General features: G+C 38.1%; 1 protein-coding gene and 1 long non-coding RNA gene across 3 annotated transcripts in view, besides 1 other annotated feature; one reads left to right on the forward strand and one right to left on the reverse strand.

The window, feature by feature from the left end:
- RELN (reelin) overlaps window positions 1–26,100 on the reverse strand; it is a 517,870-nt gene that overhangs the window by 62,416 nt on the left and 429,354 nt on the right. For both annotated transcript variants that reach the window (NM_173054.3, NM_005045.4), the window contains exons 37-46: window positions 23,761–23,845; window positions 22,773–22,955; window positions 19,456–19,627; window positions 19,257–19,359; window positions 16,863–17,092; window positions 10,920–11,140; window positions 8,527–8,674; window positions 5,993–6,251; window positions 4,874–5,123; window positions 1,112–1,280 (exon numbers count right to left, since the gene is read on the reverse strand). In NM_173054.3, coding sequence (NP_774959.1) covers window positions 1,112–1,280; window positions 4,874–5,123; window positions 5,993–6,251; window positions 8,527–8,674; window positions 10,920–11,140; window positions 16,863–17,092; window positions 19,257–19,359; window positions 19,456–19,627; window positions 22,773–22,955; window positions 23,761–23,845 — 1,820 coding nt within the window. The remainder of the gene's footprint in view (window positions 1–1,111; window positions 1,281–4,873; window positions 5,124–5,992; window positions 6,252–8,526; window positions 8,675–10,919; window positions 11,141–16,862; window positions 17,093–19,256; window positions 19,360–19,455; window positions 19,628–22,772; window positions 22,956–23,760; window positions 23,846–26,100) is intronic.
- LOC105375435 (uncharacterized) lies at window positions 386–4,889 on the forward strand. The gene is made up of 3 exons (XR_001745315.2): window positions 386–426; window positions 4,067–4,169; window positions 4,780–4,889. It is a non-coding gene; the product is annotated as an uncharacterized LOC105375435 (long non-coding RNA).
- Window positions 6,818–7,112: a silencer, noted in NCBI's record as "tiled region #15155; HepG2 Repressive non-DNase unmatched - State 23:Low, and K562 Repressive non-DNase unmatched - State 7:EnhWF". NCBI's record gives its function as "represses a minimal TATA promoter and a strong SV40 promoter by Sharpr-MPRA in HepG2 and K562 cells {active_cell/tissue: HepG2 | K562}" and the evidence as "EXISTENCE:reporter gene assay evidence [ECO:0000049][PMID:27701403]".

Consider the following 26,100-nt stretch of genomic DNA (forward strand, 5'->3'; position numbering starts at 1 on the left):
CAAACTATAACTCCTGTTCCACACACTGGATTGGTTGCTTTGCTTCTTTCTTAATGCAGCAACTGAAAACCATTTTCTTGGAGGAAATAGGAGTTTCTATCAAGATGTTAAAGCTTTCCTATAATTAGCACCTAGTTTAGATGGTGAAAGAGAGAGTGTCATGTAACACTATTCCACTAGGCAAAGCTAATTCTCTGCTTTACTCAAACAGGAGTGGAAATGCACAGATAATTTAGATTTAACTTCTTTATCAGAATTTACTAGGCAATTTTATTTACTTTAATTTTTAATTTTTTTTTTTGAGACAGGGTCTGGCTCTGACACCCAAGCTGGAGTGCAGTGGCATGATCATAGCTCACTGCATTCTCAAACTCCTGGGCTCTAGTGATCCTCCTGCCACAGCCTCCTGAGTGGCTGGGACTGCAGGTAGGTACCACCATGCCTGGCTAATTTTTTAATTTTTTTTGTAGAGATGGGGTCTCGCTGTTGTTTCCCAGGCTAGTCTTGAACTCCTAGTCTCAAGTGATCCTTCCGTACCAGGCAATTTTATTAAGCCCTGATCCCTTTCCATAGAGACAAGAATGAAAGGTTTTTCACATAAAATAATGCTTCAGGTGATAATTCTCAAGATAATGTCCATAATAAAATTTTAAAAGCAGACATAATTTAAAGGTACATTTATTTGCTACATTCATTTATAGGACATCACTCACTCCTATATTTACAGCAGTCTCACTAGCAGAAAACAGACTCTGTTTCAGTCTATTCTGTATCCAATGGGCCTATTTTAAACGACTTGTCTGGGCATCTCTGAATTAAGTTGGAGAAGCCAAGTGATGCAGCCACTGTTTTCTTTTGTAGTTCATTCTTTAAAAATATTAGAGTTAAAAGTCAGTAAAGGCCTGGCTTTTGGGAAAACATGGAATAATGCCATGATAAAAACTGGTTTCTATTTTACTCATTAAGACAGCCTTAATAATTCATACATGGCAATACCATTAGCAATTAACAAAACCCTCACATATCTCATTAAACTTGACATGCCAAATGTTATCACATTTGGGCTCACTATACGTAGAAGCATGTGGTGAACATGTAGAAGCATTCTTACCTGGTATAAGGAGGGAGAGGCAGAGTGATTCTAGTCCACTTGTTGAAAGTGTCTGACACCAGGATCCGTTGCAGATGATAGCGACTGCATTCCACATTGGTAGGCAGACAGTCCCTTACCAATGGGTGCCATGACAATCCAAGATCTACTGAGTATTCCAATTCAATCGCTGAAACAGGAAACATTATTTTGGATATAAACACATATCTGCAGACCCAGGAACCATAATTGTTTATCACATTTGTGTATGTTTTAGTTTCATTCAAATGTCAGTTTGATTTTTTCCCTACACTTATATTTCCTGCTTTGAAATGCTTCCTAGTTTAATTTTTCTCTCTGTATATTACTAGCTATTATTTTTAAATTTCCATGTTGAAATAACTTTTAAGGGGATATGATCAAGTGAAACATAAAGTAAATGTTTGTGAATCACATCTTATAATGAGAAGCTTTTGGAACAATCATCATGACAAAAGTACTGCTTCACATACAGTTACATTATTTGAGTAACTGCATATAATTGGTAAGATATATTTGTAATTTAATATTATAGTGATAGACTATATATCACAAACATCATTTAAATGGTATATCATTTAATATAGTATAATACTTAAAAATTAATATAGTTTGTTTATTTAATGGTTAACATACAAATAAGGAACATATTATATATTTTAATAATTAGTGTTCAAACTGTTAATAAATTGAGCAGACTTCTCCAATTTTGACCATTTTATAGGAATCCTGACCAACTAATGTCAATTTTGACCCTGGTATGGGTGAAACTTCTTAGAAATTGTAAACTCTCTTCTGCTTATATATCTTGCTCTGCTGTGTTATAGAATATATATAAAATATGGAAATCCAAGGGGTTTAAGGAGGGAGTTGAAGGCCACGGAATATGTGCCAATGCATGCCATCAGGTTGTGGGTCTAAAGAAAGATATTTATTTCTTTCCTTTTCTTCTTCTGGAACATTCAACCCATACCCCCTGTCTTTTATTTCTCTCTCCCTATTCACTTTATAAGCTGCCTACGTCCCTACCTCCCTTCCGAAATTGCTTTCTCTAAGGCTGTGGTTCTCAGTCTTGGCTGCACACTGAAATCACCTGGATACCTTTAGAAATGACTGATTCCTGAGTCTCCCTACCAGAGATTCTGATTGAACTCTTTTGGGGCATGGCCAAGGCGTCAGGAGCTTTAAAGCTTCCCAGGTGATTCTCCCGTGCAGCCAGTGTGAGACCACACACTGCCCTAAGGTTTCTAGGTAAATACAATGGCCTGGTCTCAGTCTTCATTGTGCTTGCCTCCTAACAGCATTGGACATTATTGATTACTCCCTGATTCTTGAAATGTTCTTTTATTTTGAGGGACATCATTCTGAGTCTCCTGTCTTTTATTCTGACTCCTTTGCAAGTTTGCCCAGCTATGGGCATTCTTCCAGACCCTGTTTCTGGCCATCTATTCTACAAGTACACTCTTGATTCAGTGATCACCTCTGTGCCCCAAATTTCCTGGTTTTACATCTCAAAATAGAGTTGTGTCTACGGAGCCTGGCACGTGCTGGATGCTGGGTGCGCTGTGATGAGCAGTATAGACACAGTTCCAGCTTTCTATACTGTATGTCATCTTCACTAAAGGATATCTTCACTTAGAAGTCCTTTCACTTGAATTAAGAAAAACTCACCATTTTCCCTCATTAACAAACATTTCCTCTTAACTACCACATTTTATCAATAGCAATACTTTTACACTGGTTTTCTGGGTCCAAAATTTAGAAGTTACTTTAGCCTTTGGTATCAGAGGTTGTTAAGAAAAAACACAATTTAGAAGTTATTTTAGAAATTTTACTTTTCTGTCTCCTTTACCCTCTATGTTCAACTCAGTCCTGAGATCTGCTGATTTTTTTTGCATTATCTCATATCAATTTTATCTATTCCATGTCTCTTCATGCCACATAGTGCAACTCTACATTGCTTCCTACAGAGGTGACCACTGTGGTTTCTTTACTGGAATTCTTCTGTACCCACCTTCATTGGCTCTGGAGCTAATCTTCGTGAAATACATCATGTCACCCCTCTGCACTTGTACTCTCTTGTTCATGACCTTACCAAGCACAAATCCCCATGCCTGCTTCTTAAGGCCCTTCTTAATTTGTTGCCAACTCCACTCAGCCACTTTCCTCTTTCATATTATCATTCATTTTAACCTTTCTCAGGAGGCTGCACCAGCCTGTATAGAAAGTACAAGTGACTGGGCTTACGAGGGCAAAATTTTAGTCCTGGTGCTGTGCTGCAGGTTGACCATGTGATAACTTACTTCTTTGGGCTCTCCTCTACTTTCTATGTGAAGAAGGGAGTAAGAGTCTAGACTGTTTTCAAAATCACCACACTGTACTCTTCTCCACTAGATGCAGACCAAGACCTGTTGAGGCTGGTCTGCTCTCAGTTTTAGGAGAACCCCACGTCAGCTTCTTTGCTTCTGCTTACAGCCTAGTTTGGGGGCCCTTTCTTTTCCATCCACCCTTAAAATCTACTTCAAGCATCAAGGTCCACTTAAGACTTAGCTCCTTTGTGAAATGTTCCCTAACTTCTTAGATTGGCCAACCATTGGTCATCTCTTGCTCCTTTGAGTTCTCATTACATTTTGTATCAGCACTACTCCGTGGAACACTTGATTTACTGGACTTTCTTTGAGGTATCCCATCAGGTAGTCTGTATCTACTGAAGACAGGGTGTGCACCTTCTACTTTTCTGTCTTCTCTTTTCCAAGTTCCATCCCCACTGACTAATCTAATCTTGACTGACTGTGTCTGAGGTAGAAAGAGTATCTCTGGCATTCCTCCTAAAGTATGTCTATTACGTTCAGACTAATGAGAATATTAAAAATTGTGAATTCTGTAGGACCTTGAAAATAACCAAATTCCTCAAATTTCTGCCTCCCCTCTACCCAGAATCTAAAACTGAACGGGGACCTTGTGAACATTCTAGTTTTTGTCTGTTGGAAGAAGAGTTATATGGGGATGTGAAAGACCAGGAGACCCAGAATCCTGACAGGTCTGTAAGTTCAGGTAGAGAGTCCAAGTGTGCAATGATGCCAGCTTTTATCTCTCCTACGATGGGTCTGTGTGAGTGCATGGTATGTGTGAGTGTACACATGCACATACTCATTCTAGGGGGTGCAAATTGGTCACAATGAGGGTGGCCTGGAATGTGCTATGATCCACGGTGGCAAAAAATATAGGCAAAATGGGAACAACAAAATGTCATCATTTGGGGGGATATAGAGAGGAGACAATAACTGGTTTCATCTAATGCCCCAAGAATTTAAATCTGTGAATATATATATTAATAAGCCCTGTATATATGAATAAATCATATTGCTTATTCCTGGCATTCTCTATGTGATGAGAGTCCTTACTGGAAAAATACTGCAAGTGTATCCTTTATTCTGCGAGTCTAATACTATAAAACCTGGATTTACAAATTATTACTGTTTAGGTTATTTACTGTATAAAATAAGTCTTCACGTACATATGCTTAAAAAATAAGCTCACATTCTATTGCTTTCAAAAATCAACTTTTAAAACTCAGTTTTTTAATACATGCAGTATTTTCAAGAGTACAGTGTGGTTTGACTCAAAGTGCACTTGTGTTTTATTTACAGACCTATCAGAGAGGCAGAGTAGTCCTATGACAGAGGCAGCCACAGAAGCTCATGCCCACATGCCTGTCCCTCTATCTGGAGACGGCATACTCACCATAACAAGAGTCTGTGACTGAGCAGGAGGCAGCGAAGTCTATCTGTAGGAAGGAATCCTCATTCACGGCAACGTCTGTGCTGACCACGTAACGGGTGCTGGCCTTTTCAATGAAGACCAGGGCATCACCAGTAGAGCCACACACGGGCATCTTGGTGCCTCCTGGGTGAAGCAGCCATTTCCTACTATCAAGGGTTGTGAAATCATCTTCCAAGACCGTATTACCAGAAATATTTCCTCCAATAAGAATCTGAAATGTATTTTTAAAAAATCCCAAATTTTCCATTTAGTTTTAAGAAATGGAAAGTTCTGCCTTTTTCGTTTGTTTGTTTGTTTGTTTTGATCTGTTGGCCTGCTCAGAACTGGCACTGGACGGCCAGCAGAATGTGAGGGGCCTTTCAGAATGCTCTTGTTTATGTCTGCTTGCCCATCTGGCAAGAAACTACACAAAACAAATCAAAGGATTGACAAAACCATTCACAGCCTACATTGGCCAAACTGTGCCTTTGCAAACGACATGTACCCAAGCTGGGAAGCAAAATTTGGCTTATGTGTGATTATTTTCCATGTAAAATTTCTATTTAAGGACAGTTGTACCCTAAGGCATTTCAGTTCCAATTCTTTGCATGAACTCTACGGTTTGTTAACAGGTTCTTTGAGTTCTATTTGATATACATCTTATTATGTATAAAGATCCTTTGGAGCAGTCTATAAGGATGTGGGGGAGATTGATTTATTTTTTTCTTCAAAGGCAAGAAAGAGGATTTGGGAACTACTGCATGTGGCACCAATGCTAATTTGCACATTTTCCTTTTCAGAGAATTATAACCTTGTATCACGCTTGATAAAGTCCCTCTATCCATATGGCAGAATCCTCTATGAGCAGGACCTAGTCCTTCTGTTATGTTGTTTATTTTTATAAGCTTAGGCAACTGAAGGAATAGAGAATGAAAGGAAGCTAAATGCCATATCTAATCTAGCTGCGTGCCCTTGGGCAAGTCACTCAACTGTCAGTTCTGGGTTTCATCTACTGAGCAAGCAGGTTGAACTAAATGCCTTCTAAGGCCACATTCAGCTCAAGTGACGACAATTAAAATAGTTAATCCTGAAGGGACTGACCTGATCGATAACCCAGGGGCTGTAGAAGTGCCCATTCTCAGACGGTTGCCACCAGCGAAGGCGAGTAGAACCAGAACGGGCTTTCAAGGGTATCTCCAGGGCAATGTACCTGCCCACATTGCTGGAATTGCTGAAAAGGAACTCCTGAAGAAGACTCCACGAGAGGCCACCGTTGAGAGAATACTGTAGGAGCACGGGTTGACTCCTGGGGTCAGGAACGCCTTTACCACATCCCAGTCTCATGAAGAACTGCACAAATCTGACATTTGTAAACGTTACTGAAGACTTTCACTTCCAAAAGAAATCCACATGCTTAACAACAGACAAGCACATGGGGTAATGCAGGGGAACGAAAGGCCTCAATAAATATGGCGATTTAATGAGTGTCCAAAGCAATCACTTCAAAGTCTGATTTCCCTTTTTAATCAGAAAGGGAGTTAATTAAATGTGAAGTCTGAAAAAAGGCAATTCTGCACCCATATTTGTGTCTAGTGACTCTCCTCAGAGGAGAGCCTGAGGGACCTGAGTGTTCCCCACACCCTTTGGCTCTTCTATAAAAAGATGGGAGGGATCTAAAGGCGGTTTGAGTGTGGGAGTGTGTGTTGTCATCTATTTAAGATAAGTGTAACTCCTTAAACTCTGAAACTGAAAGTTTGAAACGGGAAGAATGTAATTAATGTAGTGTATGCCATATAACTGGCAGATTATTTCTTCTAAGGTTTCACCAGTCGTTTTTCAGATCTCATATTATTGGCTTTGGGAGGCACATTTAAATTCACCAGTTGTAGCACCTCTTTGTGAAAGGCCAGGCATCTTTTGGAAGAGGTATGTCAAGCCTGGGCCTCTTTTCTCTCTTTTGTGCTGGGGCAGGGACCATGAGTGTGGGGTGGTGGTGGTGGTGGCTGTGCCAGGCTCTGACTGTTGCTGGGTCTGGGGATGGATGATACTGGCCACTGAGAATGGTGGCAGCCGGCCAGTGGCAGCGTTCCCAGCTGGCAGGGAGGTGGACAGAGTGGCAGCAACCAGCTGGGGTGCCAATGAAAACTAGCTCACATGTTATCTTTGGCAGGCAAGCTGCTGCTTTCTGGTCTGGCCACGATGCTAGCTGGTAATGCAGAATAAATTTCATGTGTAACCCAACACACATACCCACTAATGTATGCATGCCGGACATAGGAAATATATTAAGATGTATAATAAAAATATTATCAGTACCATATGTAAAACCATTCATTCCTCATGAGTTCCCTTCCCCACCCCATTCATTTATCTCATGACCCTGAAAAAATTGGGATTTTACATGGAGCATATTCAGGTCAATATATGCAAATCCTACACAGCATGCTACTGAGATGAGCTAAATAATGGAGCTTTTAACATTGGAGTAATGAAAACATACATGGTTGGGTCTAGTGACGTTTACATTTGTAAAAACAACAATCATTTACAGAGAAATACTTTTAGTATATTGTCTACTTGTATTGAGAAAATCTTTATATTAACTTAGTGATAGATAAACCATGAGACAATTACTTATTTGGGAACACCTAATAATTTCTAAATTAGAGAACTCAGCTGCTAATAAAAATCTGAAATAAGGAACATCAAATTAAACTATATGCATTAAAGTGGGATAATGATAAAATATTGTTTTTATAACTGTGTAATTATTTCACAGAACTGTATTTTCTATGAAGTGTGATCAAATTTATGATCAATAAATGAAGTATTTGGGAAAAAGAAGGGGTAAAAATGTTAAGATGTATTCTAAGATACTCTGAAATATCTCAAAAGACAAAAACATGGTTTCTTTGTTCACTTGCAAAATTAGGTCAGGGTTCCATTTTACACATGTTAAACCATCTTTTTTATCTTCCTTGTTAAGTTTTCGGCCCATCAAATGATCAAGGGATACACATCTTGACAGGACATAATCCTCTGAGCCAGTTTAAAATGTTTGTTTCTGAGTGACTGTGTTCAATTTAGAAAATGACTGCTTAGAATGTGTGAGTGAATCATTGGAAAGATGCTTATAAAGAATAAGGCTGCCCTTCAAATGTTTTTAACTTAAATTGCTGGCGGAGATAAAATTAATTATGAATAATTTGAAGATATACTGCATTTCAACTAAGCTTTCTACTAAGCATGGTATAAGTGTAAATAATTTCTACATAGCGCAAGTGCTAATGAAAAGTATGTTATACAGAAAGATAAAGAAGACACAATATTTTATTGAAGTTAAAGTAAATTAAACATTGTTACTTCCTAATCTCAGTCTTATAAAATACCAGATGTTAATTTTTGCCTGTTTAGGTATGTTTCCTTTCTGATTAAGTTATTGAATAATCTCTTTCAATTTTAGAATAGAAATTATGTAACTTGTGTCTTCCTGAAAGCTTTGATAAAGAGAGAAGTTCAGTATTTACAATGGAAGGCCTTGTCCTTGAAATCGCTCTGCTTCCTTCTGATTTGATTATGTTCTGCTATTATACATTACGATGTGGTTTTTTTCAACAGCATCTAAAAATGATTACCTAGCATGTGATAAATCCAGGTCTCGTGTCATCAACATGCGCAAGCCATCTTCATTGAAAAAGAGGTTGTTTCCACTAGAAAGGATTCCACACTTTCGAGATGGTTTCCCACCACTCATTAATAAGAATCTATCAGATTCTAGCTGACCTGAAAAAATTGGAAAATATGGTTTACCTATGACCCCAACTATAGTGAGTTGTATTATATTTTTAAAAGGAGTATGGTAAATGCATTATGTAGTTTCAAAATATGAAGTCATAAATATTAAAGTCATGTTTTAGGATAAGAGGCCTTTTCAACATTTCAGCTTGTTTGAATTGTTTAGCCTTGGCTGGAATAATTTAAAGATTCTTGTGATAGGAGGAGGGGGTATTTTCTTGAGTATCTATGGTCCAGCTAGATGGATCCCTCCTTTCGGCTTGTTCACACTGAAAAAAAGGACACTGGTTAGTCAGAGAGTAGTTCAGGCCATCAGGAAGGTGGGGGCTGTGTAGCCTTTCCACCAGCCTCTCTACTGTGTCCTCTCTAATGTAAGGATAGTATCAGGCAGGGACAACAAAATATTTAAAAAAACAGTTTAGTGGGAGAAATTTCAATACCATTTATTATTGCCTATTAAATAACGCCTTTAAGGCTGGGTGCGGTGGCTCACACCTGTAATCACAGCACTTTGGGAGGCCGAGGCAGGTGGATCACCTGAGGTCAGGAGTTCGAGACCAGCCCGGCCAACATGACAAAACCCTGTCTCTACTAAAAATACAAAAATTAGCTAGGTGTGGTGGCAGGTGCCTGTCATCTTGGCTACTTGGGAGGCTGAGGCAGGAGAATTACTTGAACCCGGGAGGCGGAGGTGGCAGTTAGCCGAAGATTGTGCCACTTCACTCCGGCCTGGGTGAAAGAGCAAAACTCCATCTCAAAAAATAAATAAAATAAAATAAAATATAAAATAAAATACTGTCTTTAAAAACCAGCTCTTAAATCTGTTCAGATACTCCGATTTCGTTTATTTATTTTTTCATTGTGGTAAAATACACATCACATAAGATTTACCATTTTAACCACGTCAAAGTAAACAATTCACTGGCATTTAGTTGATACACTCTGTTGTGCAGCCATCACTACTACCTAGTTCCAGAACTTTTTCATGAGCCCGAAAGGAAACCCTGTGCCTGTTAAACTGTCACTGTCCCCTCACTTTCCCCTCCTCCAACGCTGGCAAATGATAATCTGCTTTCTGTCTTTATGAATTTACTTATTCTGAATATTTCATAAAGACAGATTGACATAATATGTGGCCTTTTGTGTCTGGCTTCTTTCATTTAGCATGTTTTTGAGTTTCATCTATGTTGTAGCATGTATCAGTATTTCATTCCTTTTTATGGCTGAGTAATGTTCCACTGTATGGATATACTTAGATCTAGTTTTAAAATGTATTGTAAAACCATAAATAGAACAAGTTTACAAAAACTGAGCAAAAAGAAAGAAAATCTTTTTTTTTTTTTTTTTTTTTTTTTTTTTTTTTTTTGAGATGGAGTCTCGCTCTGTCGCCCAGGCTAGAGTGCAGTGGTGTGATCTCGGCTCACTGCAAACTCCGCCTCTCAGGTTCAAGCGAATCACCTCCCGAGTAGCTGGGATTACAAGTGCCTGCCAGCGTGCCCGGCTTTTTTGTATTTTTAGTAGAGATGGGGTTTCACCACGTTGGCCAGGCTGGTCTCGAATTCCCGACCTCGTGATCCACCTGCCTCAGCCTCCCAAGGTGCTGGGATTACAGGCATGAGCCACTGCACCAGGCCGAAAGAAAATCTTTTAATCCCACTACCCTAATATAGATGGCTATTATACTTAAGACTTTCTTTTATGGAGGTGTTTTTCCACAGTTTGATCAAAGTGCATATATAATTTAAATGCTTTTTTCTAATCATTACATTACATGCATTTTACTATGTTGTAACATTGTCTTCACACATAATGATACTGAATTCTAGGTGTAAAACTAAACTATAGAAAGTGATGAGAGGCTATTTAAGCAGTTTGTGGTAAAGCAGTAACAGGAATTTATATTTCTGGAAACCCTTCCATCCAAGATTAAGTCTCTATAGATATATTCTAAAATTGTCATTAGGCAGAAATTACATGTGGTAGAAAAAGTTGTGAACACAGCCTTAGTTTTTCTCAATAAAGGTCTTGTAGCATGTATCAGTATTTCACTCACTGACCATTGTTTCCAAAATGGAACCCTATAAATTCAGAACTAAATGAATTCTTGGATGTTCACAATTGAAATAATAATGAGATATTAGAATTAAACTTAATGATTAGTTATCTACCAAAAATTGTGTTTAACATATAAGTTCTTTCACAAGACTACATAGAATTTGTAAGAAAAGACTACCTTCGAAATCATCTTTGAGAAAATCAGGATTTTTGGTGCTTATTTTACAGGTTGGACCTGAGTAGCCAGGGTCACATATACATTTGGTTCCATTGATACAGCTCCCCTGTCCATTACACATCTCCTCACACTGGGGACCGATGTAGACATTATCAATGGCCCATGTCACTGGCTGAGAGCCGGCAGGGTAAAATCCCTGGTACCATCTGAAACGGACAGATCTGGAAAAGAGGACAAGTCTTTCAAAAGCTAATCAACAGAACAATATACCTTCAAAGTATGCACATCTGATCAATGAACAATGGGCAGCTTCTACCTATGCTCAACACCCAAGAAATAGAAAACATTTGCCATTTCAGGAACAAAACTCCATTCCTCAATCTCCAGGATTTTGCCAATAAAGTTCTTGTTTCTTGTAAGCTTTTCCTGATCCTATCAGAATGTCAATGTTTCACTTGATCTTCCCATCTTTTTCAATATTGACTTCCTTGGTGAAGACTTCTCCATCCTTACTATTTTGTTTTATTTTTTTTTTTGAGACAGAGTCTCACTCTGTCCCCCAGGCTGGAGTGCAGTGGCACAATCTTGGCTCACTGCAACCTCCATCTCCCGGGTTCAAGCGATTCTCCTGCCTCAGCCTCCTGAGTGGCTGGGCGTGCCCACCACCACACCTGGCTAATTTTTGTATTTTTAGTAGAGATGGGGTTTCACCATCTTGGCCAGGCTGGTCTTGAACTCCTGACCTCAGGCGATCCGCCCACATCAGCCTCCCAAAGTGCTGGGATTACAAGCGTGAGCCACCGCACCCGGCCCCTTCTGTCTATTTAATACACTCTGTATAACTAACCTTTTTTAAAAAAACTGAGGTAAAATTCACACAACATAAGATTAAGCATTAACCATTTAAAGTGTACACATCAGTGGCATTTACCACATTCATAGTGTTGTCCAACCATCACCTCTTTCTAGTTTCAAGACATTTTTATCACCCCAAAAGGAAACCCCATGCCCACTGAACAGTTTTCCCCATCTCTCCCTCCCTGACAACTGACAACCACCAATCATTTCTGTCTCTATGGACTGACGTATTCTGGATATTTCATATAAATGGAAAGATAGAATATGTGACCTTTTGTGTCTGGCTTCATTCACTTAGCATAACAGCATAATGTTTTCAAGGTTCATTCATGGTGTAGCAAGTATCAGAACTTCATGGCTTTTGTGACTGAACAGTATTCCATTGTATGGATATACTAGCTTTGTTTACCCATTCATTAGTTGATGGACATTTGGTTGTTTCCATTTTTTGGCTACTGTGAATAGTAATGCTATAAATATCTGTGTACAGGTAATTGCTTAAATACATGTTTTCAATTCTTTTGGGTAGAAGGGTAGTGAAATTGATGGACCTTATGGTAAATGACAATCTTTTAAATTTTTCTATCTTACTTTCTCTTCCATAATTTTGATGGAATTTCCATTATTATAGTTATCCCAGCTGGAGTTACTTAAAAGTGTGTCTATTTCCTCTATTGGCTGTGAGCTCATAGAGGCCAATGTCCATGTCTCTTTCTTTTTTTGTACCTTTTTAAGGCACCCATATAGTGTTCACACATAGTAGATGCTCAGTAAATGTTTGTGGCATGTAATTTGTTGTGAAAGTCCTTATGAGCCAAACTAAGGTTTTTTGGATTTTATCTCATCAGAAACAGAGAGCCCAAAAAGATTATTTTTTAAGAGAAAAAGTGGCAGAATCTGATGTATTTTTAGATTCTCTTATTTCTTAACTTCTTTTTAAGTCAAAAATAATTTTCCTTTTGAATTGTCCTATCATGTTGCTGATAAGTTAGCTCCTTAGAAATAATCTACATATTTAGGTAGCTGTCCAGAAATGTTTTAATGTATTTTATCATGTGTAAAACTCAGTTCAAAGAAGACAGATTTATTTTAGAATGGCAGGATGCAGAGATGACATGTGCACTTATTTTTGTGCCCTGTGAATCTTCCCAATTTTCAATTATCATAGAAACTAAATTCTGAATAGTTTTCTGTTTGAGAAACAGAAATTAGAAGTTAAATACCAGGATTAAGGATGGGTAGTGGGGGAAAAATACATTTGTTAGGCTTCTAAAATTTAGTGGATAGTAAAGCGACAGATTCAAGTTCCTACATATATTTAACCCTAATTTCATTGTTCCATCTTGCTCTTGTCGCCCAGGCTTGAGTGCAGTGGCACGATCTTGGCTCACTGCAACCTCCACCTCCAGGGTTCAAGCAATTCTTCTGCCTCAGCCTCCAGAGTAGCTGGGATTACAGGCGCCCGCCACCACGCCTGGCTAATTTTTGTATTTTTAATAGAGATAGGGTTTCATCATGTTGGCCAGGCTGCTCTCAAAGTCCTGACCTCAAGTGATCCGCCCACCTTGGCCTCTCAAAGTGCTGGGATTACAGGCGTGAGTCACCATGTCCAGTCCCAAACTCCAACTATATCAAGCTGCCCCCAAAATGCCAGTCCATAATTAAACTTTATTTTCAAATACTTGTCAGAGTTTAGTCTTGGCAAGAAGCACTTCTTACCTTTTGAACTTTCAGACTGCTGAGCTGAGGGAAATGGCTGGAGTTTTCCTTTGAACAAAAGCCTACAAGGATTTTTTTTGAACTTCTTATTTATTCAAATGTTCTGAATACAAATGAACCACCTTAGTTGGATATTTATTATTGTTCACTTGCCTTGACACAGAAACTGCAAGCACTATGATAAATAGGCTGAAGGGTCTGGTTTCACTGTGGTTCCCTTCTGCTGAAATCTTATTTTGAAAATTTCTCACTGCCACCCTCCTTGGTGAATGTCAGCATCTGTTCTCCTAAGCCAGTTGTATTCAAAAGGATCTGTTTTTTAAACATAAACTTAAAATTTCAAGCACACAACATTGCTTTCATTAAATAGGGGTTTTGGTTGACTCATTATGAAACTGCATACAGCAAAAACAATCAGGAACTTTTAAAGACAAAAGGACTCTAAAAGCACACCAAGGTGATGTGAATAAAATTAGATGAAAGCTCATAGTTATTCTTTGAATGTAAATGGACTATATATGTAGAAGGAACAAAATTTGACTATTTTGCACCTGAGAACATTTAATACACTTTTTGTGTGTATTTCGTGTCCAATAAATGCAAGAAAAGAGTAATTTAAACATGGATTTTTGTATATATATATGCTTTTAGCATCCAGCACTTGTGCCATTACTATGTACCATGTTGAATACCAACCAAGGGATGGTTCACTGAGTTGGAGAAAATTTAACTTTTGCCTTCCAGCCATTCATGCCTGCATGGGTTTTAAGAAGAGTGCTAATTCTTTTCCTGAAACAAGGACTAGACAACACCCTTAAGGCAAATTTTTCTCTTCACAGAAATGGTTGAAGGCAGTTTGAAACGTGGGTTTATACCATTCTGAGAACAGGCATGCATGCCTCCTTGATACATTTACTTTCTTTTCATGGAAATAAAAATGACATGGAATACAAATAATGTGACAGTCTAGGTTCTGTACGCTATTATTGTGTTTTGTAAGTGGCTTTGTACCAGTGGGTGAAAATATAGATGTCTGCAAGTCTCTTGTTCAGATTTCCAAATTATATTGTCTTGCCTTACGTGGAAACACAGCACAGTGGGCATTACCAATGCTGAGCGAGGTGGTCTCTGTGACGCTGGAGCACTCCCCTGGCATGGACATCTTCACTCAGTGCCTCTGACTGGCAGGTCTTTGTCATCTTGTTTCATACGCCTTTAGATGGGATTATTTCCAAGTGGGAACTTGCTGAAGCAAGTCTCAGTTGGCAAAACAATCTAAAATCGTAACCTACAATCTATCTTTAGGGTCGTTCGTTTTCTATTTAATTCTTAGCTGGATAATTGGAGGAAATTAGAGGTCCATTAAACAGAAAACCTAGTGTTTGTCCATAATACCATAAGGGAGTTCAGTGGACTGCTCTGTATCTAGAAGCCTGTCTTACTCCATTCAGGCTGCTGTAACAAAATACCATAAATCGGGTGGCTTATAAATAACAGAAATTTATTTCTCACACTTGTGGAGTAGCTGGGAAGTCCAAGATAAAGGAGCCAGCACCTCAGTGTCTGGTGAGGACTCACTTTGTGGTTTATGGATGCTGCCTTCCTGCTGGGTCCTCACATGGTGGAAGAGGCAAGGCAGTCCACTGGGGTCTCTTTTATAAGGGCACTGATGCCAATCATGAGGGCTCCACTTTCATGAACTAATTGCCCCCTAAAATGCCCCATCTCCTTATTCCATTACCTTCAGGGGAATGAATTGAGACATGTGAATTTCAACAAAAATTCAGGCCATAGCAGTGCCTAAGCTATCTAGGCCTTTCCCCTTGCCTGTCCTGCTCATAGGCATGGTTTTTCGACAGCTATGCTTCTCTTGGAACACTTGGCTTTCAGGCTACAGCTGATAGGTTCAGATTTGAAAATTTGGAATTAAGAGCTCCAGAAAATGAAAGCTCTGGTTTGCCAAGTGATGTTAATGTGAACACAATAAAAACAAGGATCATAAACTTCTGTTGCTAAGTCCCCCACACTTTCTGAGTGAAGTCCATGCCATTCCCCAGTATCTTTCCAATAAGTTCTTTCACCTTTTTGGTAAGCCTCTTTATATTTCTTGCAACATATGATCTTAAATAATACAACCATTTCGAATAAAAACTTTTTCCTGGATTATTTTCCCCTGCCAGATTCTTCTAAAGACAAGCTCCCCACAACCAGTGGTAGCTTTCTGGTTTTGCTGGCTGTGTCATCAGCTCCATCTATTCCTATGATCTCCAGAGACACTCTTTGCCTCCTCTGGCTATCAGTTCTTGAGGACTTTTTGCTTAGTAATGCTTATTTTTAAAAAGATAGTTGGATTTCCTATGAGAATCATATCCTGGCATAATCGCAAGAATTAGTAAATTATATATTCAACAACCCAAAATATTAAAATCCTTAGCAATCAATTTATAAAAGTTATGCTGATGATATAATGAGGAGTGGATAGATTCATGTTCAAAGAGATGCAGACTTTAAAAAATTCACTTTCACCCTTTTGGAAAAGTACTAGGTATTAGTAGTCTTGTTTGAAGACTCAAGACTTCTAATTATGCTCCATTTCACAGCAGGAATATAAATCTATTTCCATCTTGAAAGTATGATATTAGTACTTTCTTCTTTTTTGACATACTCTGAAAGAAAACATTCTTAATTCTGAAAGAAAAAACAGAAATTTGGAGGCAGACTGCTCTGTTGACTTCCTCTCTTTGTTCACTTTTATTATCAGTTTTGTTTTTTGAAATATACTTTTCATTTCATTTCTCTTAGGGGTGAAGTCCTTTATCTCTAAGTTGCTTTTCAGCAGAAGAGTCAAATAAATGTAACAAGAATGCTGAGAGAGGTTGGAAAAGTAGAGATGCCTGGGGGCAACGTGCTAACTTTTTTTTTTTTTTTTTTTAATGAGACACCAGGAATATTCTGTGGGCTTCTATGCTCCCTATATACACTCTCCCTGCATGACAGACATAGGCAGGTGTTTGAAAGTCATAATATTCTAGCTGCATTTATATTGTCAGGTGGGAGTAGGCAGGAGGAACGCGTGGAAAACCTTATTTTTGTTGTGTTCTAATTGATCTAACAGAATTTCACAAGGATGTGAACCCCACTACAGGGTGCAGCCCATGGTGTCCTGTTCAAATCTACCTTCCAACTAGAAATTAGTAGTTATGTCAGCTCCGTGTCCTACATTTTAAATATCCACTGATCTGCTTGAGAACAGAGGAAGAAACGTCAGGTGGAAATTTCCCCATGATAAAGTGGCAAGTGAACGATGACTTCAGGAATAAACTGTCAAAGGAGAAACAAATGTGGCGTCAAGCAGCGGGTCCTTACCCACAAAGGTGCAGCTTCCCAAAGTGCACGACCTCCCTCCTCCAGCCCTGCATGGTTCCTGCGTAGTAGGTGCTGCTGGGGTGGTGCTCGGTGGAGCATAAAGAGCTGACGTGGCTGCTGCTGTGGTAGCAGAGGGGCAGCAGAAGGTGCCAGGTCGCCCCGAAGTCCCTTGAAAATTCCAGTCTCACTGGATCCGCGGATGAGCTATCAGTCGAACAGCCAACGTTGATCTTGGGGATGAAGAAAAAAATGATACAAATTACCTCAGAGCAACAAGCCTTGAAATGATTCACCACTTCATTATTTTCTAGGGTCCATTTTCCTGGGAACTGTCTTGCTGAAATATTTAATACTATAAAATTATGTTTTGCCTTACTGAGTAATATTGTATATTACCTTGAAATTATAATTTTTCATAAAGAACCTCAAAGGGCCTCATGAAAAATTTATTTCCCTTCATTTTATAAAAAGCAGGAAGTGGGTAAGGCAGAGGCTGGGACAATTCCAAATTTTACCTTTGGCCCATTTTCCTAGCCAAGCCAAGTAAATCACAGTGAAAAGACTGTTTCCCTAATCCTAACTGTTAGCTTCCCCCCCATCTAGGTAGGATACCTTCTATTTTCCTTCTTATGACACCTTCCAAATAATCCTAAGAGTTTTACACATGAATCTGCAATGAATATTCAATATCAAAAGAGAATACAATCATTGTCATCATTTCCCTGGCACAGGGAAAGATTTTTTTAAACTTATATATACTTAAGGTGTACCCATACTGTTTTGATATGATATACAAAGTGAAATAATTACTACGGCCAAGTGAATTAACCTATCTATCACCTTCCATAGTTACCTTCTGTGTGTGTGTGTGGGTGTGTGTGTGTGTGTGTGTGGTAAGAGCATCTAAAATCTATTAACACATTTTCAGCATACATTATTATATTATTAACTATGGTCTTCATGCTGTGCATTGGATCTCTAGACGTACTCATCCTTCATAACTGCAAGCTTGTCTCCTCTCACCTACTTCTTCCCACATCCTTCTCCTCCCCACCCTGGTATCCACCAGTGTATTCTGTCTTTATGTAAAGACCTTTTTAACCATTAGGAAAACAACCACTCCATTCCTTTTCCCATGCTTTCAAGTGCATTAAAATAAATTATATAAATGCACGCAATTCTTTCTATAAAAAATTTCCCCTCTCCAATTGAGATGAACATTTTCTTACTATCATGCCATCAAAGCATAGGAACCACTTATTGATATACACAGTAACACATAACCATCTATAGTTATAGTTATATACAATAAATATACACTATACATATTATGTGTGTGTAGATATGTGAACTTACATAACTTTTAACTTCTGATGAGTAAACTATTGACATTTGATAAACTTTCGAATATAGGCACTTGTTTCTTCCTGAATTCTTTTTTTTTTTTTTTTTTTGGAGATGGAATCTCACTTTGTGCCCAGGCTGGAGTGTAGTGGCACAATCTCGGCTCACTGCAACCTCCACCTCCCATGTTCAAGCAATTCCCCTGCCTCAGCCTCCTAAGTCACTGAGATTACAGGTGCGCACCACCATGCCCGGCTAATTTTTGTATTTTTAGTGAGACGGGGTTTCACCATGTTGGTTAGGCTGGTCTTGAACTCCTGACCTCATGATCTGCCTGCCTTGGCCTCCCAAACTCCTGGGATTACAGGTGTAAGCCACCACGCCTGGCTGATAATAGAACTCTTAAAGGTGCTAAAGATGTCATCTTTTATTAGCTATGAAAAAAATATTCTGAAAAGTTAATATTCTAAAACGCTGGTATAATATACCTTTGGTTCTGCTGATTTTATCTAAGTTTTTGAAATATATAAATATTTTTATGTTAATTATTAATTTGCTCTCTTGACAAATAAAAGGAGTGCATAAATATTAATAAAATACACAAATACATTTGAAATTATAAAACAGTATTATCTGTAAAATTAATAACATCATGACAAATATTATATAAATAAATATCCTAGCATGGCATAGACTATAGTTACATTGACCTAGTCCCTAAGAAATTTTAAGTTTCACATAAAAAGTGTGGAAATATAATACAAGAATAGTATGAGCCTTTTCATTTTTATAATGTTTAAAATAATTTATTTCAACTTCCCATTGTAGCAGGTGGGGAAACTACATCATAAAGGATAATAATTCAGAAATAAACCTTAGTATGACAATTGGCTCTGTTAATAAGAGAAAATTATGATGCCAAAATCTCTTACATCCTTGCACAAAAATGGGAGGTCATAATGCATGAAATTATCTGAGATTTTCCTCCCCTTTCCTAGGTTTTGTTCAATATAAAATTTAAAGCATTTATTATAGAACAAAGTCAAGTACCTCAAATTGTATGATGGTGTTCTCATTCACATTTAGGTCACGGGTGGTAATGGAATGCTCACCAACTTCATTTGAAACAAACACCATAGCTGAATCTTCTTCACTGTTACACAGGAAAACAACCAGGAATCCATTTAGGCAAAAGTTCATCATGATTTGTATACAGCAGTGGTTTTATTTTTAGATTCTTAATACTTACGGTGCCCCCTTTGAAGAATATGGACAATAAAGACCGATGTTACCACCAGGATAGAAAAACCAATTGTCTTCTCTGGGCCCAAAATCAAATGTATCCAAGAGCATCACAGGGTTGTTTACATTATTTCCATCGATAATGAAGTCATCAACAATCCAGATTTCTTCTTTCTTACCTAAGGCATTTTTGGATAAAGCAAGTTTTTCCAGTGATGAAAATCAAATGAACACTTTTGCTCATTGAAAGAAAGCAAAGGACAAAAGCAACTCAGTAACAATAGGTTAAACATATGCCTTCTACAGGAGGATTGTTTGAGCCCAGGAGTTCAAGACCAGCCTGAGCAACATAGTAAGGGCCTATCTCTACAAAAAATAAAAAAAATTAGCCAGGTGTGTTTGTGCATGCCTGTAGTCCCAGCTACTCAGGAGGCTGAGGTGGGAGGACTGCTTGGGTCCAGGAGTTTGAGGTTACAGTGAGCTGTGACCATGCCACTGCACTCCAGCCTGGGCAACAGAGCAAGACCATGTCTCAAAAAAGAACCACACAAACCACCCCCCGCCAAACCCATATACTTTCTGGGGGAAAAAAAAAACATAAAGTACTTGTCAGTACTTTGTATATTGTCAGTGATTAAAACTGGCCAGGCACGGTGGCTCACGCCTGTAATCCCAGCACTTTGGGGGCCCAAGATGGGCAGATTGCCCAAGCCTGGGCAATATGGCAAAACCTCGTCTCTATAAAAAAGCAAACAAATAAACAAAAAAATTAGCTGGACATGGTGGTGCATGCCTGTAGTCCCAGCTATTCAGGAGGCTGAGGTGGGAGGATGGTTGAGCCTGGGAGGTGGAGGTTGCAGTGAGCCAAGATCACGCCACTGCACTCCAGCCTGGGCAACAGAGCAAGATGCTGTCTCAAAAAAAAAAAAAAAAAAAGTGAAAAAATTAAGCTTGCAACCATATTAAATTGATATACCATGGAACTGCCTTGCTAATTTCAGAAAGCTGTGACAATGCTGTGTATATAATGTATGTGAAAGCATGCTGTCCTTCAAATAATAGCAGTGCTATGAACCCTCCCCTGGCAAGAGTGGGTTTTGAGTTGTGTTTTAGTGGTTTAGGGGAATCTGTGAGACATGCAGTCTGTGAGAATGAGTGGTCAGTTAGTGGACTTAGAGCCGAGGAACACTAATCAGTCTATTCAGGGAGCAATTCATGCTTTTTAGGGCCAACCCATGGCTTAGCACCATACTTCAGTCAGGCTGAAGGACTATGGCCATTAAAATAATGCCCTGATACGTAATTGCATTTATTTGTTTATTTAATACAGAAGAAAAATATTCTATGATCAATAATACTCCATGTTTTCTTAATGTTTTTCATATCTTCTATGTTGATCTGGAGATACTGTGGGAATATATAGGAAACTAGGGAAATCACCCTTTATACTGCTATAGTATTTGATTCAGTGATTTAGACCAGGTGTTTAAGGAATATGTTAGAGTAGATAATAACGGCAAAAGCCAGGCTGCTTTTGTAAAGCACTGTTTGGACTGACCTTGAAAAAAGGTGATAAGTCCATGCCAAGCAGGAACGTCAAGATTCCCTAGGTTGCTTCTTCACTGATTTCTACTTCAGTGCAATTCTTACAAAACATAAAAAAGGATCTGTAAACAGGAGCCTGTAGAACAAACCTGATGCTTTGAATGAAATCACAGGTCTCTATCTCTAATCCTATCAGTGTTCTAATTCTAGTAGCATTCTTTCCTCTTCTTGTTTAGAAAGTGGTTGGTGGAATCAATGAAAAAATAATTAGGTGAGCACTCCAAACATAGTATGAAGACAGCAATCCCTCCGTCACCCAGGCTGGAGTGCAGTGTCATGATCTCGGTTCACTCCAACCTCTGCCTCCCAAGTTCAGTGATTCTCCTGCCTCAGACTCCCAAGTAGCTGGGATTACAGGTGTGTGCCACCACGCCCAGCTAATTTTTTTGTATTTTTGTAGAGATGGGGTTTCATCATGTTGGCCAGGCTGGTCTTGAACTCCTGACCTCAGGTGATCCACCTGCCTCGGCCTCCCAAAGTGCTGGGATTACAGTTGTGAGCCACTGCGCCTGGCACATTCCTTTTTTGGACTTTTATTCAGTGACAAGATGTATGTATACATATATGTTTCACAATACATTAAAAATTTTGTTTTATGTTTTAGTTTTAACATATTGTTAAGGAAATAGGTTAAATTTTAGAGATGGAAGAACCTTTGCCTTTTCCATTTTTGTGTTGCCTCTGCAAAGAATCTGCTGCTTAATGTGGCATCTCCATGCTTATTTAGGTGATTATATGCATGACTTGGTAAAGTCTGGTCCTTTATAATCAGCAGTTAATAGAAATATAGAAAGCAATAAAACATTACCAATTTGTAGAATCATTTTCTGTAACCATTTGAAATGTATTAAATTATACATTCACTTTAACTTATCACTGAAGCAAGTGTATGTGATAAGAATATTTTATCTACGGCACTATCTGCTTGGTCTAAGTCCCTCTCACTTCGTCATGGCATTTTGCTATAGTATTCTATTTCACTAATGAAACGCCACACTCAGAAGAACTATGTATTCCCAAATAAATGCAACAAAAATGTCATTACAACTGATGAGTGCCTAATGATAATGCTGGATTATTTTTAAAAATCTTTAGCTCTGTAACAGAATTCAGCTATATTTACATTAACAGGAGAACCCACTAGTCAAATATGAAGAGATTATATATACGTGTATATATATATATATATGTTAAATATTTAAATATTTATTGAGACTTGTTGATACGGTTTGGCTCTGTGTCCCCACCCAAATCTCATCTTGAATTGTACTCCCATAATTCCCATGTATTGTGGGAGGGACCCAGGTGGGAGATAATTTGAATCATGAGAGCAGTTTCCTCCATAATGTTCTTGTGGCAGTGAATAAGTCTGATGAGATCTGATGGGTTTATCAGGGGTTTCCACTTTTGCATCTTCCTTATTTTCTCTTGCTGCTGCCATGTAAGACATGCCTTTTGCCTCCCGCCACGATTCTGAGGCCTCCCTGGCCATGTGCAAGTGTAAGTCCGATTAAACCTCTTTTTCTTCCCAGTCTGGGTTTGTCTTTATCAAGAGCACGAAAACGGACTAATACATTTGTCAAAAGTGAAGCATGTAAAATGTGTGTGCTGTGGACAGCTAAGCTGCTCAGTTGACAAACACTTCCTCCACACCTTAGAAACAAATGTGTTAACATGCCACTATCAGTTCTGATCACAGGAGAACACATGCATTTTTACCGTTATTATAAGGTTGCCAGAGTCTGAATCTTGTAGCATTGGTTTGGGCAGTGTATGGCAAGGGAACATTGATGAAAAGTATATTCGTTGTTTGAGGAAAGTAAAATTCATCCATCAGGTGCCAAGTGATTCCTCCACTGATGGAGAATTGTAACAGAATAGAGTGAGATCTCTCTGGGGTACCTAGGAAGAAGATAACACAGGTATAAAACATACTGTGATAAAAATGGGGAAATGGTATGTTCTTAGCTGAATCTTTAGGCATCAATGCATAAGAGAACTTATGTTTACATGGAAGCTTTATAGTCCAAATGCTTCAGAAGCAACTTAAGGGGATGACAGGTTGGGCTTTCTGTATATCTCGAAATACACACCAAAGCTTGGATTTGCACACAATAATACCTCCCTTTCTCTCTCAGATATGCACAGGCATCTTTCTGTATTTAGGAAACATTACATCAAAACATTTTGATTCTACAGGCATCACGATTTTACAAAGGGTCAAACATTTAAATCTCAGGATATAAACAGAAAAACTGTTTGAATATGTATTATATCTACAATCAATTTGTTCAGGAAAATTATTTAGTTAATATGAAAAGCCAGAATGACTAAGAATAGGCTTTTTTTGGATTCACATCTGTAAAAGAAAATCCACGTTTTTCATAAGTTAAACATTTTAAAATTTAAATTTCTTTTAGTTAGAAAGTAGTGGTGGAAAGACTCAGGGACATGATGATAAATTTAACTACCATAGAACTAATATGATTACAGCTATATGAAATTATTTAAAATCAGTAGTTTTCTTGCCCTTATATTAAGATAAACTTACATTAAAGAAAAACATTTGCAAACATTTATGTATACTAATTTATGTTAGCCCTTCCATACAACAAAACTTATGGGCCTTAAATCCGTGATTTCTTTGTGGAAAAGGAATTGCACAGGGGAGAATTCTCTTGAAGGAAAATAATAAATTCATACTTACTTTTTGCTATAAATCTAAGTGAAAACTGGACATACATTGTATTTGTACAATCTAGATCTCTTGAAATAAGCATCCTTAGTCCTTCCTGAAAATAAAAACATATACGTTAAGCAACTTTTTTTCACTTGCAAAATTGTATCCCTTTGATTTTATACACCTAACTTGCATTAGCTAAGTAATAAATACATATCATGATCAAGAAGCAAATTTTGCCTAGTTTAAAAGGAAAAATGGGATGATCCTTGTTTCCCCTCTCTTAATGGCTTTCATATCCTGTGCCTGAATAACACAGTTTCATTGTCTCAACTCTAAATCATACTTTTCTGTGACTCTTCTAAAAAGCGGTGCAAAAATGATAGCATTACATATCTACAGGCCTTTTTTAAAAACAGCCTCCTTTGATCACAGCATGTTATGAGAGGAGTAACGAGGAAGCAGATGGAAAATGTGCCAAGTGCTCCCGCTGGAAGATGGGAACTGATAGGTGACTTTCTCAGGGTTCCAAGGAGTCTTAGGAACTTACTACTCCTTTGCTCACTCTGACAGCCCCAGGGGCTCTCATTCAGGCTGACACAACAACATCCCCCAGTTGGTCAAGTTAAATAAGGCATAACTAAGGCAAGTCCTGATGCTCACGCTGTAGGCATTCATGCAGAGAAGTCAATGAACAAGGAAAGAGATCACATTAGCTTTCGTAATTTTTTCTGCTAATTTAACTATTTCTGGTTGCCTAGGATTGACAACTCGAAAGGTTCTTTTCTTCTTGGGTACATAGGATTGCAGTGACAGCCAGTAAAACAGAATTTCACTATGCAAATAGCCTAAGGTCCAGACAGGTCTTTTAGTTTTTCAGCTGCAACTTCTGAATGACGTGACTCTTTACGGATGCACGGCTGTGTGATAATAAGTGGACATTGTCACTGATTTCTCATCAACTAACAAAGGCCAAATGTAATTTTAGCTAAAAGAGAACATTTTCCTCTTCTTCATCATATACATTATAGATCACGTTCCTCAATAGCTGAAAAAAATTTAAGTAGAGCAAATTCCACAATAGCAACCATATATTGAGTGCCTATACATGCTGGGTGCTAAGATAGACATTTTACTCATTTAAAGCACCTAGCACTACTGACAGAAAAATATTATTCTCATATTGCAGATAAGGAAACTAAAACTCAGAGAGGGAAAGTAACTTTCTCAAGATTACATAGTTTATAAGTGGTGATGGTAGGATTTGAACCCAGATATGTCGGATTCTAAAACGTCTATCCTTTATGAGATACCAGTGTTTTGTTTATTAAACTATCTTTTGGTTTGGGGAGAAAAATATCCAGATAATGCCAAATGTAGAATTTGAGAATTATTTGATATTGTAATGAAAACGCAACTGCATTTAATCCATCTCATAACTTCACAAAGCATAGATTCATACTTCAGGACAGGTTGCCATGTAAAAGCCTTATATTTCTAGTCTTTGTTTTTTCTTTTATGCCTAGTAATTCACTGCTCTGTTCGGTCCATGATACCTAACCCATGCATCTTCTTCATTTCTTCATGTCTTAATGTCTTTACCCTCTTCCTTATACACTTGCATAAAGCCTTGGATTTTTTTTTTGTTTGTTTTAAGAGACAGAGTCTTGCTCTGTTGCCCAGTGGCTATTTATAAATGTAATCATAGCTCACTACAAACTCGAACTCCTGGCCTCAAATGATCCTCCCACCTCAGCCCCCACTGTAGCTGGGACTAGAGGTGTGCACCACTGTGCCTGGCTAAGTGTTGGATTCTTTTAGAGCTCAATGCCATGTGGGAGTGGAGGTTGAGAGGAAAGGTCCCTTCTTCAGATCGTAATGAAAAAGCTTTGAGATAGACAGTTGATAGATTCAGGTAATAAATATCCCTTGCTAACATCAAACTATAGAAATATGATTACTCTTTCCCCTTGATTATGGAATGCAAGTATAAAGTTGTTCCCATGGGTCAATACAAGTCACTCATAAAGGGACCTATTTTACACTGTATTTTGTAGGAGCAATTTTATTGAAAGTGAGCATGATTTGTAATCTGAAAGTATCTTTCTTTTATATTTGTAATATTTGTTTATAGGTTAGCATTTTATATTGATATTTATACAGCAGAACTGTCAAACTCTGCTGCCACATATATTCTAGTTCACAGACATATGTTTCTTTTCTCATCCTTTTTCAGGTTCAGTGATCCATTTGTGCTAAATGTGAGAAATTCTTTTGCAACAAACAAGCTATTTTAATAGTAGATAGTATTCCTGAATCTATAAACATTAAAAAGAGACTATCATATCCTTTTTCACGAAAGAATGA

The sequence above is a fragment of the Homo sapiens genome, chromosome 7 (assembly GCF_000001405.40).
Source record: "Homo sapiens chromosome 7, GRCh38.p14 Primary Assembly".
Classification (NCBI taxonomy): domain Eukaryota; kingdom Metazoa; phylum Chordata; class Mammalia; order Primates; family Hominidae; genus Homo; species Homo sapiens.